The sequence below is a fragment of the Homo sapiens genome, chromosome 14, assembly GCF_000001405.40.
Source record: "Homo sapiens chromosome 14, GRCh38.p14 Primary Assembly".
NCBI classification, from domain to species: domain Eukaryota; kingdom Metazoa; phylum Chordata; class Mammalia; order Primates; family Hominidae; genus Homo; species Homo sapiens.
In genome coordinates, this window is record NC_000014.9 from 60,746,490 (window position 1) to 60,759,374 (window position 12,885).

A 12,885-nucleotide genomic window follows, 5' to 3' on the forward strand; every position below is an offset into this window, starting at 1 on the left:
AGGTGACAGAGTGAGACTCTGTCTCAAAAAAAAAAAAAGAAGAAAAAATCAGTGTAGTCTGTAGTCTTTTCTTTGACCTTGCAACATTAATAAAACTATTCGTATTAGCTGTAATTTTTTTTTCCCAGTATGAGGGATGGTGCTGATCACTCTGCAGAATATGAATACTTCATTACGGATTGCTTATTATATGGCTCTAACATATATTTTTTGCTTGATCAAAAATGACTATTAGTGTACTTTAGTCTTTAAGATGCAGTGTGCTAATATACTTAGTTACTTACTGAGCGTAACTTATAGTTCTTTAAAACTATGTTTACAAGATATTTACTAATTATATTATTTGTAATGTTTCTACTCTCCTCTAATTCCCTTCTATACTGGGAATCCTTTTTAAAGATTCATTTCATATATATATATATATATATATATATACACACACACACACACACACACACACACACACACACACACACACACACACACACAAAATTATGTCTTTTTTTTTTTTTTTGAGACAGAGTCTCGCTCTGTCGCCCAGTCTGGAGTACAGTGGTGCGATCTCGGCTCACTGCAAGCTCTGCCTCCCAGGTTCACGCCATTCTTCTGCCTCAGCCTCCTGAGTAGCTGGACTACAGGTGCCCGCCACCACGCCCGGCTAATTTTTTGTATTTTTAGTAGAGATGGGGTTTCACCATGTTAGCCAGGATGGTCTTGATCTCCTGACCTTGTGATCTGCCCGCCCTGGCCTCCCAAAGTGCTAGGATTACAGGCGTGAGCCAATGCGCCCTGCCCAAAATTATGTCTTAATGATGGGTATCCATTCTGAGAAACTCATGTTAGGCAGTTTTACTGTGTGAACATCATACAGTGTGCTTATGGTGTAGTACCTGGTATAGTCTATTATATACCTAAGCTATAAGGTGTAGCTTATTGCTCCTAGGCTACAGGTCTGTATAGTGTGTTACTGTACGGAATGCCATAGGCAGCTGTAACACAATGGTAAGTTTTTGTGTATCTAATTATATATAAACACAGAAAAGTTACAGTAAAAAAGGATAAAAAATGATACGCCTATATAGGGCAGTTACCCTGAAAGGAGTTTGTGGGACTGGAAGTTGTTCTGGGTGAGTCAGTAAGTAGTGAGTGAATGTTAAGGCCTAGGATATTACTATACACTACTGTAGACATTATAAGCCCTGTACACTTAGGCTACACTAAATTTATAAAAAAATTTTCTTTCTTCAATAATAAACCCCAGCTTATGGTAACAATTTTACTTTATAAATTTTTATTTTCTTTTGAACTGTTTGACTGTTTTGTAATACCTAGCTTAAAACACAAATTATGCAGGTGTACAAAAGTATTTTATTTATGTCCTTATTCTATAAGACTTAAGCTTTTTTTCTATTGAAAACATTTTAAGGCCAGGCATGGTGGCTCACACCTGTAATCCTAGCACTATGGGAGGCCGAGGTCGGCGGATCATGAGGTCAGGAGATCGAGACCATCCTGGCTAACACAGTGAAACACCGTCTCTACTGAAAATACCAAAAATTAGCCGAGTGTGGTGGCACCCACCTGTAGTCCCAAGCTACTTGGGAGGCTGAGGCAGGAGAATCCCTTGAACCTGGGAGGCAGAGGTTGCAGTGAGCTAAAATTGCGCTACTGCACTCCAGCCTGGACAACAGAGCGAGACTCTGTCTCAGAAAAAAAAAAAAAGAAGAAAATATTTTAAATTTAGGTTTTCCTTTTTTTTGAGACAGGGTCTTGCTCTGTCACCCAGGCTGGAGTGCAGGGGCATGATCACGGCTCACTGCAGTCTTGACATCCCTGGCTTAAGCAATCCTTCAGCTGTAGCCTTCTGAATAGCTGCGACTCCAGGTTGGCGCCACTGTGCCCAGTTAGTTTTTTGATTTTTAGTAGGGATGAGGTATCATTATGTTGCCCAGGCTGGTCTTGAACTCCTGGGCTCAAGTGATCCTCTCGCCTTGGCCTCCCAAAGTGCTGGGATTGCAGGCGTGAGCCACTACACGTGGCCCTATTTTTGTTTTTACTTTTTAAGCTTTTTCATTAAAAATGAAGATACAAACCTACACATTAGCACATACATTAGCCTAGACCTACACAGGGTCAGGATCATCAATATCACTGTCTCCCCTCTCCACGTTTTTTCTCATTGGAGAGTCTTCGAGAGCAATAACATGCATGAAGTTGTCATCTTCTGTGATAACAATGCCTTCTTCTAGAATACTTCCGGAATGATCTGCTGAGGCTGTTTCACAATGAACTTTTTTTTTTATTAGTAGAAGGAGTACACTATAAAATAACAATTAAGAAGTCACAGTATCGTAAATGCATAAACCAGTATCGTAGTCATTTATTATCATTATTAACTATTATGCACTGTGCATAATTGCATATGCTATATTTTCATACGACTGGTGGTACAGTAGGTTTGTTTACCCCAGTATCACCACAAACAGGTGAGTAATGTGTTATGCTAAGATGTTAGGATGGCTACGAAGTCATTAGGTGATAGGAATTTTTCAGCTGTATTATAATCTTAAGGAACAGACATCATTGTATATGTGGTCTGTCTTTGACCAAAATGTCCTTGTGTAGTGCATGACTATATATAGTTTTGAATTTTGGAGGAAATCTATCCAGATTTGTACCTGCAGGTATCAGAAAGTTTCATAGCATCTTTGGCTTTGTGAACATTCTCTTTCCATGGAAGTTATGTTCTCAAACTTGTATTCCAAGAGTCAAACAGGTGAAGCTATCTATTGGACATTCAAACTTATTTGTTAAAATGCAAGTTATTTTATTCTGTAAGGATCTAAAGTAGTAGTTCATTAGTTTCCTTTAGGGATACAAATACAAATAGAAATGGAATTAATTTTTTCTCATTGCTTTTTTTCTGCTGTGGGCATAAAAATATTATGTCTAACAAATATATACTGACAGTATGATTGCCTGGGTTGGAATCCTAGGTTCGCTACTTATTATTAGCTATGAGATTTAGGGAAAATTACTGATTCTTATTAAAACTTTTTCTCATCTGTACAATGGGTTCACTAGTAGTGATACCTTACAGTTACTATGAAGATTAGATGAGGCACAGTTCGAGTAAATTTAAGAATTCAAGTAAATCTATGAATTCAAGTAAATTTACTCTATAAAGAGTTATTTTCAGTAGTCTATGTGCAAAAAATATATAGTTTTTCAGCTTAAGTTTCAGGAATCTTTTGGCAATTTATTTTCAGTTTACTTAGCAACTTGTTCCTGAGACAGCAAATAGAATGAGAATAATTGAGTGAAAATTAAATGAGATTTTAATGATTTTCTTCAGGTTTCAAATGTGTTAAGCCTATTTTCCAAGAAAAAAATAAGACAACAGTAATTTACTAGTTGTTGGTGTTTACTAATAAACGTATTTGCAGTCTTTCTCAGACACTCAATACATTTTCCAGGCCAGTGATTCCAAAACTTACCTCATCCTAAGAATCATCTGGGGTGCTTCTTTAAAGTACAGATTTCTGGGCCCTACCATAGTCTTTCGAGGTGGGGACCAGTATTTTATACTATCTAGGTAAATTTTGTGGTCTAAGAGGGTTGAAAACACAGTTCTGGGGAAACAACAGTGAATGTGGCAGACATGGTTTCTGCCCCCATTACTTTTATAGTGTCTTAGTTCTTCTTTTGAGTCATTAAAAATAAATTCGTTTTTCTTTCTTTCTTTTTTTTTTTTTGAGACGGAATCTCGTTCTGTCGCCCAGGCTGGAGTGCAGTGGCGCGATCTCGGCTCACTGCAAGCTTCGCCTCCTGGGTTCACGGCATTCTCCTGCCTCAGCCTCCCGAGTAGCTGGGACTACAGGCATCTGCCACCACGCCCGGCCAATCTTTTTTGTATTTTATTAGTAGAGATAGGGTTTCACCATGTTAGCCAGGATCGTCTCGATCTCCTGACCTCGTGATCCGCTTGCCTCGGCCTCCCAAAGTGCTGGGATTACAGGCGTGAGCCACTGCGCCCAGCCTTTTTTTTTTTTTTTTTTTTTTTGAAACAAGGAGGAAAAGGAAAGTTTATAGTTATAGAAATATTCTTTGTAGTTAAGATGTGAAAGTGGGCTTTATTGTTAAATAAGCTATTTTTTAAAAAAATTACTATTTGCTAAAGAAACATAAATCTGAAATCTTGCAGCCTGATTTTAGCTGTTCTGCTGATTTAGGAAAAGGTCCTTTGGGGAAGCAAATCATTTTGGTTGGTTGGGTACAGGTTTTGCAAAGTTAGCATCAGGGGAACAAAAATGTCTGGGTGATACCAAATATACAAATGTTGTACGTGGTTCCAAATATGGAAATGGTTTTGTCTAAAGCAGCCACTGAAGAGAAATTATCTAAATATTAGCCCCTTTAGGAAAGTGGAATGTGTTGTCTGATTTGGCTCTCAGGCTTAGTATGAAAGTTTGTGCAAAAGTACAGCTTACAAAATGCTATTTGTTTTATTAAAAGGATTGATAGGAAGTTGACATACTTAGTTAATTTAAATTTGGAAGGAGCTCAGCAAACATCTTTCTAGTTGTATTTTATGTCTCCCTCCACCTTCTTTTTTTTTTTTAATCAAATGGGGAAACTGAAGCCTAAGAAAGGATATATGGTTGCATAGCCCACCTGGACAGCTCCAGTCTCTTTTTTTGTGTGTAAATCCCATTCAGAAATTAAATTTCAAAATTAATTTTCAATTACATTTTGATTACCTGTTGACTAAATACATTTTTTTTTACTGTAATGCAACTGGGTTGTAACTCAAACTCATGCATAAGATGAAAAAACTACAATATTAAAAATCATTTTGATCTACTTAGAACAATTTTCTCTTTATATTTTATTTTCTAGGGTGCTAGCTTACGATAAAAAGCATCTTTGAATATTCAATAATGATATTTTTCCTGATATTGTATTTGCCACATCTTTATTTTTTATTGATGATATATAAGCAATGACATAGTATTTGGTTTTTGAGGTATAATCAGATGTCAACTAGGAAGCCTAAATGAATTGTATTGTTGATGCAGTGAAATGATTTGTAGGATAACTTATTTTATAGTATTTTTATTTTTCATATTTATTTTTAAAGAAATATAGATTATTTACATGTACAAACAAATATATATATTCTCTACAAAAAGATAAGAAAATTTAAAATTTAACAGACTTTATCAGAAATGTTTGGAGTGTTAGGTTTTCTTTTCATTTACTAAGTTGGAATATGTAAAAAAAAAAAGAATTTTGAGATGAGGACAAGTGATTGTATACCTCACTCAGTTTTTTTAGAACACAAATATGATAGTGGTTATATCATTGAAAATCAATGAAGCCTCCATCAATATGGTGCAGTGCCTCTGCACCACTGATTTATATATATTTAATGAACTTGCTGTTCTAATTTCAGGTAACTGAAGCAAACTGCATCTAGCACTAACTGGTTTACTTATAAACAATTCAGCTCATTAAAATATAAATATCTTGAAATTTACCAATATTAGATATAATTTCTTTATAAATAGTTCTACTGTGTTTACTTCCTGGTGTTAACTGACATGTTTCTAAAAAAATCATCATATTTTGGTACTGTTTCAGATAATGTTACCAAAATATGTTGTTTTATTTGATCTTATTTCTTGCTACTGATCTAGAATGGATTTGGAATAGAAGATATGGGACAAAAAAGCTTTCAAAAGTGATGGGATTTATGAAGTATGACATGCCAGATGCTGTATTTTTGAGATCTATTGGAGCATAAGTGAGGACCAGTTAAGGATCTATTTCTATATTCTTTGGGATTAGGAATATAGTTTTTAATATTTGCATTTTTTAAAAAATGTATTTTAAAATAGATTTATTTTAAGCATGTCTATTATGTTTTATTGAAAAAATGCCACAAGATAATATTAAAAAATGTTTTGACAAAAGAAAAAAATTATACATAATACTTTCACAGAGGAGTTCTTTTAATTTTTATCTTCTTATTTGTATGTGTGTGTGCTGTGTAGTCTCAGCTGCTCTGGAGGCTGGGGTAGGAGGATTGCTTGAGCCCAGGGGGTCAAGGCTGCAGTGAGCTATGAGTGTGCCACTATATTCCAGCCTGGGTGACAGAGTGAGGCTCTGTCTCAAAGCAAACAAACAAAAAACACTTTGGAGAATGCTGTTTTAAGTTTTGACTCAGTAACTAATTTTGTAAGAAATTTCATATTACTCTACCATTGTACTACTTATTATTATTATTTTTTGAGATGGAGTCTCACTCTGTTGCCCAGGCTAGAGTGCAGTGGTGTGATCTTGGCTCACTGCAACCTCTGCCTCCTGGGTTGGAGCAGTTCTCCTGCCTCAGCTTCCCGAGTAGCTGGGATTACAGGTACGCACCACCATGCCCGACTAATTTTTGTATTTTTAGTAGAGACAGGGTTTTGCCATGTTGGCCAGGCTAGTCTTGAACTCCTGACCTCAGGTGACCCACCCACCTTGGCCTCCCAGAGTGCTGGGATTACAGGCGTGAGCCACCGCACCTGGCTTGCACTAGTTATTTATTGCTGTCTAACAAATTATCCTAAAACTAAATGGCTTAAAATAACAAACATTTATTTTCTCACGGTTCTTGTGCATCAGGAATTTGGGCATGGCTGAGCTGGGTAGTTTTGGCTCAGGGTGTCTCATGAGATTGCAATCAAGTTTCAGCTGGGGCTCTATTCATTTGAAGGCTTGACTGGAGTTGGAGGATAAACAGTTGACCATTAAACAACATGAGTTTGAAGTGTGTGTCCACTTATATGTGGATTTCAAAAAACAAAACAAATAAGAATTGAAAATACAGTATTCACAGTATGCAAAACCCCATGTATATGGAGGGCTGACTGTATTAAGCTCACTCATGTGGTTTTTGTCAGGAGTCCTCAGTTCTTTACTGTTATTTTTTGGCTAGAGGTGTCAGTTCTTTGTCACATGGGCCTCTCCTAAGGATTTCTTCAGTGTTCGCACAACATAGTAGCTTTCTTCTCCTCAGGTGGATGATTCAAGAGAGAGACAAACAGAAGCCACGATGTCTTCTATGAACATCATTCAGACACCATCGTTTCTGCTGCATTCTGTTTGTTCAGAGTCCTAAATACAGCTCACATTCAGAGGAAGGGGAATTGGGCTTCCCCTTTTGATGAAAGAAGTATAAAGAATTTGTGGCCATATGTAAAACCACACCAACCACATATGTATATTTATCACTGGAATACCTTGAATCCAAGAGGGCTCCCAGTGATTTTTGTCTCCTACTTTTTATGTCCTTGCTTAGTTTCTCCCTGATTGTATCAGGGTTGCTTGTATAACCAATCGAATATGGTAGAAGTTTCTCATTTCCAAGGCTAGGTCTTTAACAAAGACTTTGTGGCTTTCCATGTGGTTACTCTCTATGTTCTTGGGCAACTTGCTGTCATGAAAGACAGTTTATGTGTCGTCAGCAGCCTTATGAAGTTCCGTGTGGTTAAGAACTGAGACCTTCTACTAACCGCCAAGTCAGTGAGCCATCTTAGTCTTCAGTCCCAGTCCTGTCTTCAGATGACTGCAGCCCCAGCTGATATCTTGACAAATAAGCTGCTCCTGGATTCCTGACACTGAGAAATTTTGTGAGATAATAAATTGTTTATTGTTTTAAGCTGTCAAGCTTGGTGGTGTTTTGTTATGCAGCAACAGATAACTAATAGAATCCCTTCATCTTTATTAAAACAAAAGGCACATTGCCAAAAGCTGTACACATATTAGGGATTTTATTTTTTTTTTAATAATAGGGAGAAATTTCTTCTTTTTTTTTTTTTTTTTTGAGACCGAGTCTCGCTCTGTCGCCCAAGCTGGAGTTGGAGTGCAGTGGCACGATCTTGGCTCACTGCAACCTCCGCCTCCCAGGTTCAAGCGATTCTGCTGTCTCGCTCTCCTGAGTAGCTGGGACTACAGGCGTGTGCCACCACACCTGGTTGATTTTTTTTTTATTTTTAGTAGAGACGGGGTTTCACCGTGTTAGCCACGATGGTCTCGATCTCCTGACCTTGTGATCTGCCCGCCTCGGCCTCCCAAAGTGCTGGGATTATAGGCGTGAGCCACCGCGCCTGGCAATAGGGAGAAATTTCTAAGGGCGCATGTTCAACAAGCCATTGTCATTAGAGAAGTGGCTTTTGTTCAGAGGCATATGAACTACTTTTATTCAGAAGTAATCAAGGGGGAATCTAGTAGTATTGTAAAGGTAAACATTTTAATATCATGTAAGATGTGATAATAATTTAGTGTTTTTAGTGAGAATCCTGTAAGCTTCCTGTCATTGACTAAGGTCTGGATTACATTCTATAACGCATGAAGTAGCAATTTGAGAAACTAATTCTTTATAAAAATACTTTCACCTTGTTAATAGATTTGTTTCTGTAAGTAAGAAATACAGTGGAGTTGAATCTTATGTGGAATTTGTATATACGTATTTTTTTTTTCCAGAGACAAAATCTCACTCTGTTGCCTGGGCTAGAGTGCAGTGGCATGATCACGGCTCACTGTAACTTCAAACCTCTGGGCTCAGGAACCCTTCTGCCTCAACCTCCCAAGTAGCTAGGACTATAGGTGTGTGCCACCATGCCTACCTAATTTTTTTTTTTTTAGTTGCCCAGGCTGGAATGCAGTGAAGTGATCTCAGCTCACTGCAACCTCTGCCTCCCAGGTTCAAGTGATTCTTCTGCCTCAGCCTCCAGAATAGCTGGGACTGCAGGCACGTGCCACCACACCTGGCTACTTTTTGTATTTTTAGTGGAGACGGGGTTTCACCATGTTGGCCAGGATGTTCTTGATCTCCTGACCTCATGATCCACCCGCCCTGGCCTCCCAAAGTGCTGGTATTACAGGCGTGAGCCACTGTGCCTGGCCTAATTTTTTATTTTTTGTAGAGACAGGGTCAGGCTTTGTTGTCCATACTGGTCTTGAACTCTTAGGCTCAAGCCATCCTCCTGCCTCGTCCTCCCAAAGTGTTGGGATTGTAGGCTAGTCACTGCACACAGCCTGGAATTTGTATTCTAAAGTCATGTAAAGCAGAAAATATAGTGAAGATTACCCTTAATATTAAGGATCAGAAATTGTCCATATGGGTAAATAATTTTTCATTAAACCTAGCGCAGCCAGTTTTCCTTCCAGCATAGTAATAAATCAGTATTCCTCACCTGAACAGCAGATGAAGTAATTGGCTCTTGTTTTGGCATTATACTGAAAAGACTTACCTTTAAACACTGTCATATATAGTCCAATAAGATGCTTGTCCTAGGAGAGGCATTGAAACTGAGTGCAACAGAGGGAACAGCAGAGTGACATCTCTCATTTTATGATTACTCTGGGGTATAGAGATAGTCACTGAGAGGAGAGGCTGGGGAAATGGGACCGCTTTCTAAAAATGTATCTCTGTCTCTTTTTGCTGAACATATATAAGTGAATTTGTGTAAGTATGCACATGATGTGATGCCATTGTGTAATGCTTCTGAAACGTAAATACTTGTCTTTTTTTGGGAAATGTAGACTTTTTATTTCTTTCATTATGATGCTTAGATTATTTGATAGCCTATTTAATGGACTATGGGATAAGAAAGATTGAGTTTTGTTAACTTACATATAGCACAATGTGGGAACCTCTGTTCATAACGAGCTGTCTATGTCATTAAGGAAAGTTTCAGTGATAGTACACAACCATACACATTTGTTGAACATATGCATTAAAGACAGAGTTATATTGAAAAAAGTTTAGAATAGAACTTCTGCATTTTGGAGTATGCTACACTTGTCTGGAAAAGTTACTGTCAGATAATGTTTTGTTACTCTTGGAACATGCGTTATTGTACATGAAATTCTGAACTTTTATAGAGTATGAGCTAAGAAGTGCTTTTCCCATTACTAAGGAGGCTGAATATTCAAGAGTGATCATGGAAGAATTTTAAAAAATAGTATATTTTTATACTTCACAGTGTCTTATGGATTGCTTACCATTTAACAGTTAAGCTGGAGGATGGAAAAATCTTGATGTAAGTGGTAGGAACTTCTGCCAACTGGAAATCAATTAAAATGAAAATAAAGCAAGTATAAAGTTTTAGTGTTACTGGGAAGATACCATTTGACTCACAAAGGTGTCATTCATGTGCTCTTTCTGGCTATATACCTGTGGCCTAAAGCTGTGGTCTTTTGGGGATTTAATTATTAATACAGAAATGTGTTTTACAAAATAGAGCCATGTCTATTTTGATGCCATATAGTTTCTTTTTAAAATGTATAAATGCCCTTGCGTTTTTTTGGGCAAAATCAATCATGCTGTCTTGTATTTGGAGGTAAATGACAACAGGATATTCACTTCCAGTTTAAGTAGTAGCCTACAGTTTCTCTTGAATTTAGTTTTTGGCTTGGTTAAACCATTAGTGTATTTGACCTGGACTAGAACTTGATTTTAAGATGTCATCAGCTGTGAGTTCCCAAGTGACTGGCTCTCACATTTCACTGAGAGAGAACAGGCTATTTGACTTGTTAGTTTGAAGAAATCATATGCAACTTTCTGGTACTGCAGAAGTTGTTCAGAAACATAACACAGAGTACTAAGAAGCTAAAAATTTCCTGTTTAAAACTAACGGTGTATGGAGTAATTTATTTTGTGGAATCTGGAGGGATTGGTGTTTGAGATGGAAATACATACTGATCTGACAGTTTCTTACTCTTATTTACCTCTTTCCTCAGTTTTTGGTGATAATTCCAAGTTATATTAATATATAGACTGTATCAAGCCACTATGAAAATTTTATCTAAATGCAGTTCCAGATTTTGCAGTATTTTAGTGCATTTTTTTTTATTGTCCACACACACCCACACACAGGCTAGAATGTTTGACATTTTCTGGTCATCAATTGAGACACTGAAATGTCTTGTTTGATAAAGTTATATTTTGTTTCAAAGATATTTTTAATAGACTGTTCCTAAGCATTTGAACCAAACAGCAGCTATGAGCTTAGGGCTTTAGGGCAAGATTTCCTAGAATATCATTCATGTTACTCCTAGTTTACATCAGAATATAGGAGACAAACTATAATTTAGTTTCAGTTAATACTTTCCAAATTTTTACCCCTGTGGCATTTGTCTGAGAAATACTGATGAGTCACAGAGATTCCCTTTCTGTCCTTAACTAGAACATATGTAGAATAGGAAATAGGAGAAAACTGTTCATGCATTTCCGTGCTTTTAGGTTTTTTTCTGCTCTTGGCAGTGTATTGATTCTGATGCTTTACTTATTTTGTAATTTTTATTTTATGACTTCCTGTGTACAAGGAGTTGATGATGCAAAGTTGAATCAGAGGTAATTTTTGCCCTGAGGTCTCATTGCTAAGTATGGAAGATAGACAAACAAAATGTTACAATACACTACAATAATTGTTATGATGAGTGTTGTTGGAACCATCTAAGGAGCATAATTTAGATGGTAGAGGGCAGTGGGACCAACAAATATACCAGATATTCAAATAAGAAATCTGAGGTCATACTATATGTACTAGGCTTATTTCTAAGCCCTACGAAGTTGTGCCCATAACTGTCTCCTTAATAACTTCCAAATTACAGATTTTATCCTATTCCCCTTGTAGTCTATGTCTTCCTTATCTCTACTTGGACTTTTTTTTTTTTTTCTTTTTGAGGTAGGGTTTTGCTTTGTTGCCCAGGTGAGAGTGCAGTGGCAAGATCATGGCTTCTTGCAGCCTTGACTTCAGGGCTCAAGCAATCCTCTCATGTCAGCCTCCTCAGTAGCAGGAACTACAAGTGTGTGCCACTACACCTGGCTAATTTATCTTTTTGTAGAGACAGAGTCTTACTGTGTTGCCCAGGTTGGTCTCGAACTCCTGGGCTCAAGTGATCCTCCCACCTCAGCCTCCCAAAGTGCTGGGATTACAGGTGTGAGCCACGTTGCCTGGTCCACTTGGACTATTTCAACTGTCTCCTGGCCGAGGACTGCTTCAAGCTTAATTAACATGGATACTGCTTACTACCGCCCACTCCTCCCAACCCTCCAAAAAAAAACCCCCAAATTCAGAAAACAAAACAAAAAATAGTCTTCCCCTTTTAACCATGATACTTCCTGCTTAAACTTCTTTGGTGGTTTCTTGTGTCTTCCACCAATGCTTCTCACATTTTAAAAAGTAACATTAACAATGGAGGAAAACAAATTTGTACCCCTAGTTTGTCTGGAGGTGCAACTAGAAGTGTCGCTTTGAAAGCCCCTTTGAAGTTTTGGTTGACCTTAAAAATGCATGTAAGATTTTAATTTTTTAATATTTTCTGTTAGTATTAAAACAAAAAGTATATGCCTTCCTAATTTTTTATCTCATACCCCTAACCTTTGCATAAAATTGATGTTTTAGGAAGACGCACCACGTTTTCCTCTGGCTTTATGTAATCCCTGACACACAGACCCCACATCATCCTGTAGTTCAGTATTTTCAAACTGTGTTGCCTGAGAGATTTCAAACTGAAACTCTGAGAGATTGTTTGAGGCAGCTGCTCATTGTCATCCCTTAAACTAGAGCAGTCTCCATTTATCTGTTTACATATTAGGTTTCTGGGTAACATTTAGTATGAAGAAAGAGTTCTGTTATTAAAGAAATATAAGCCTGAAAAATGCTACTGTAATATATGCTAAAAATCCAAATTCCTTAGCTTATCATGTAAAGATTTTTCTGGTCTGGTCTCTGCCTATTTTACTTTTCTTTCTTCTCTCTCTCCTCAGCTTCCAGCACCTTTCCTAGAGATTGAAACTTGAAACCTGAGGGTGAAATTAATTTTGTTTGG

General features: G+C 37.3%; 1 protein-coding gene across 3 annotated transcripts in view, besides 2 other annotated features; it reads left to right on the forward strand.

The window, feature by feature from the left end:
• The window catches only part of MNAT1 (MNAT1 component of CDK activating kinase), a 235,205-nt gene that overhangs the window by 11,729 nt on the left and 210,591 nt on the right, over positions 1 to 12,885 (forward strand). The gene's annotated exons all lie outside the window — the stretch shown is intronic.
• Positions 6,887 to 7,166: an enhancer, noted in NCBI's record as "active region_8482". NCBI's record gives its function as "activates an Ori minimal core promoter by ATAC-STARR-seq in GM12878 lymphoblastoid cells {active_cell/tissue: GM12878}" and the evidence as "EXISTENCE:reporter gene assay evidence [ECO:0000049][PMID:35858748]".
• Positions 7,577 to 7,626: an enhancer, noted in NCBI's record as "active region_8483". NCBI's record gives its function as "activates an Ori minimal core promoter by ATAC-STARR-seq in GM12878 lymphoblastoid cells {active_cell/tissue: GM12878}" and the evidence as "EXISTENCE:reporter gene assay evidence [ECO:0000049][PMID:35858748]".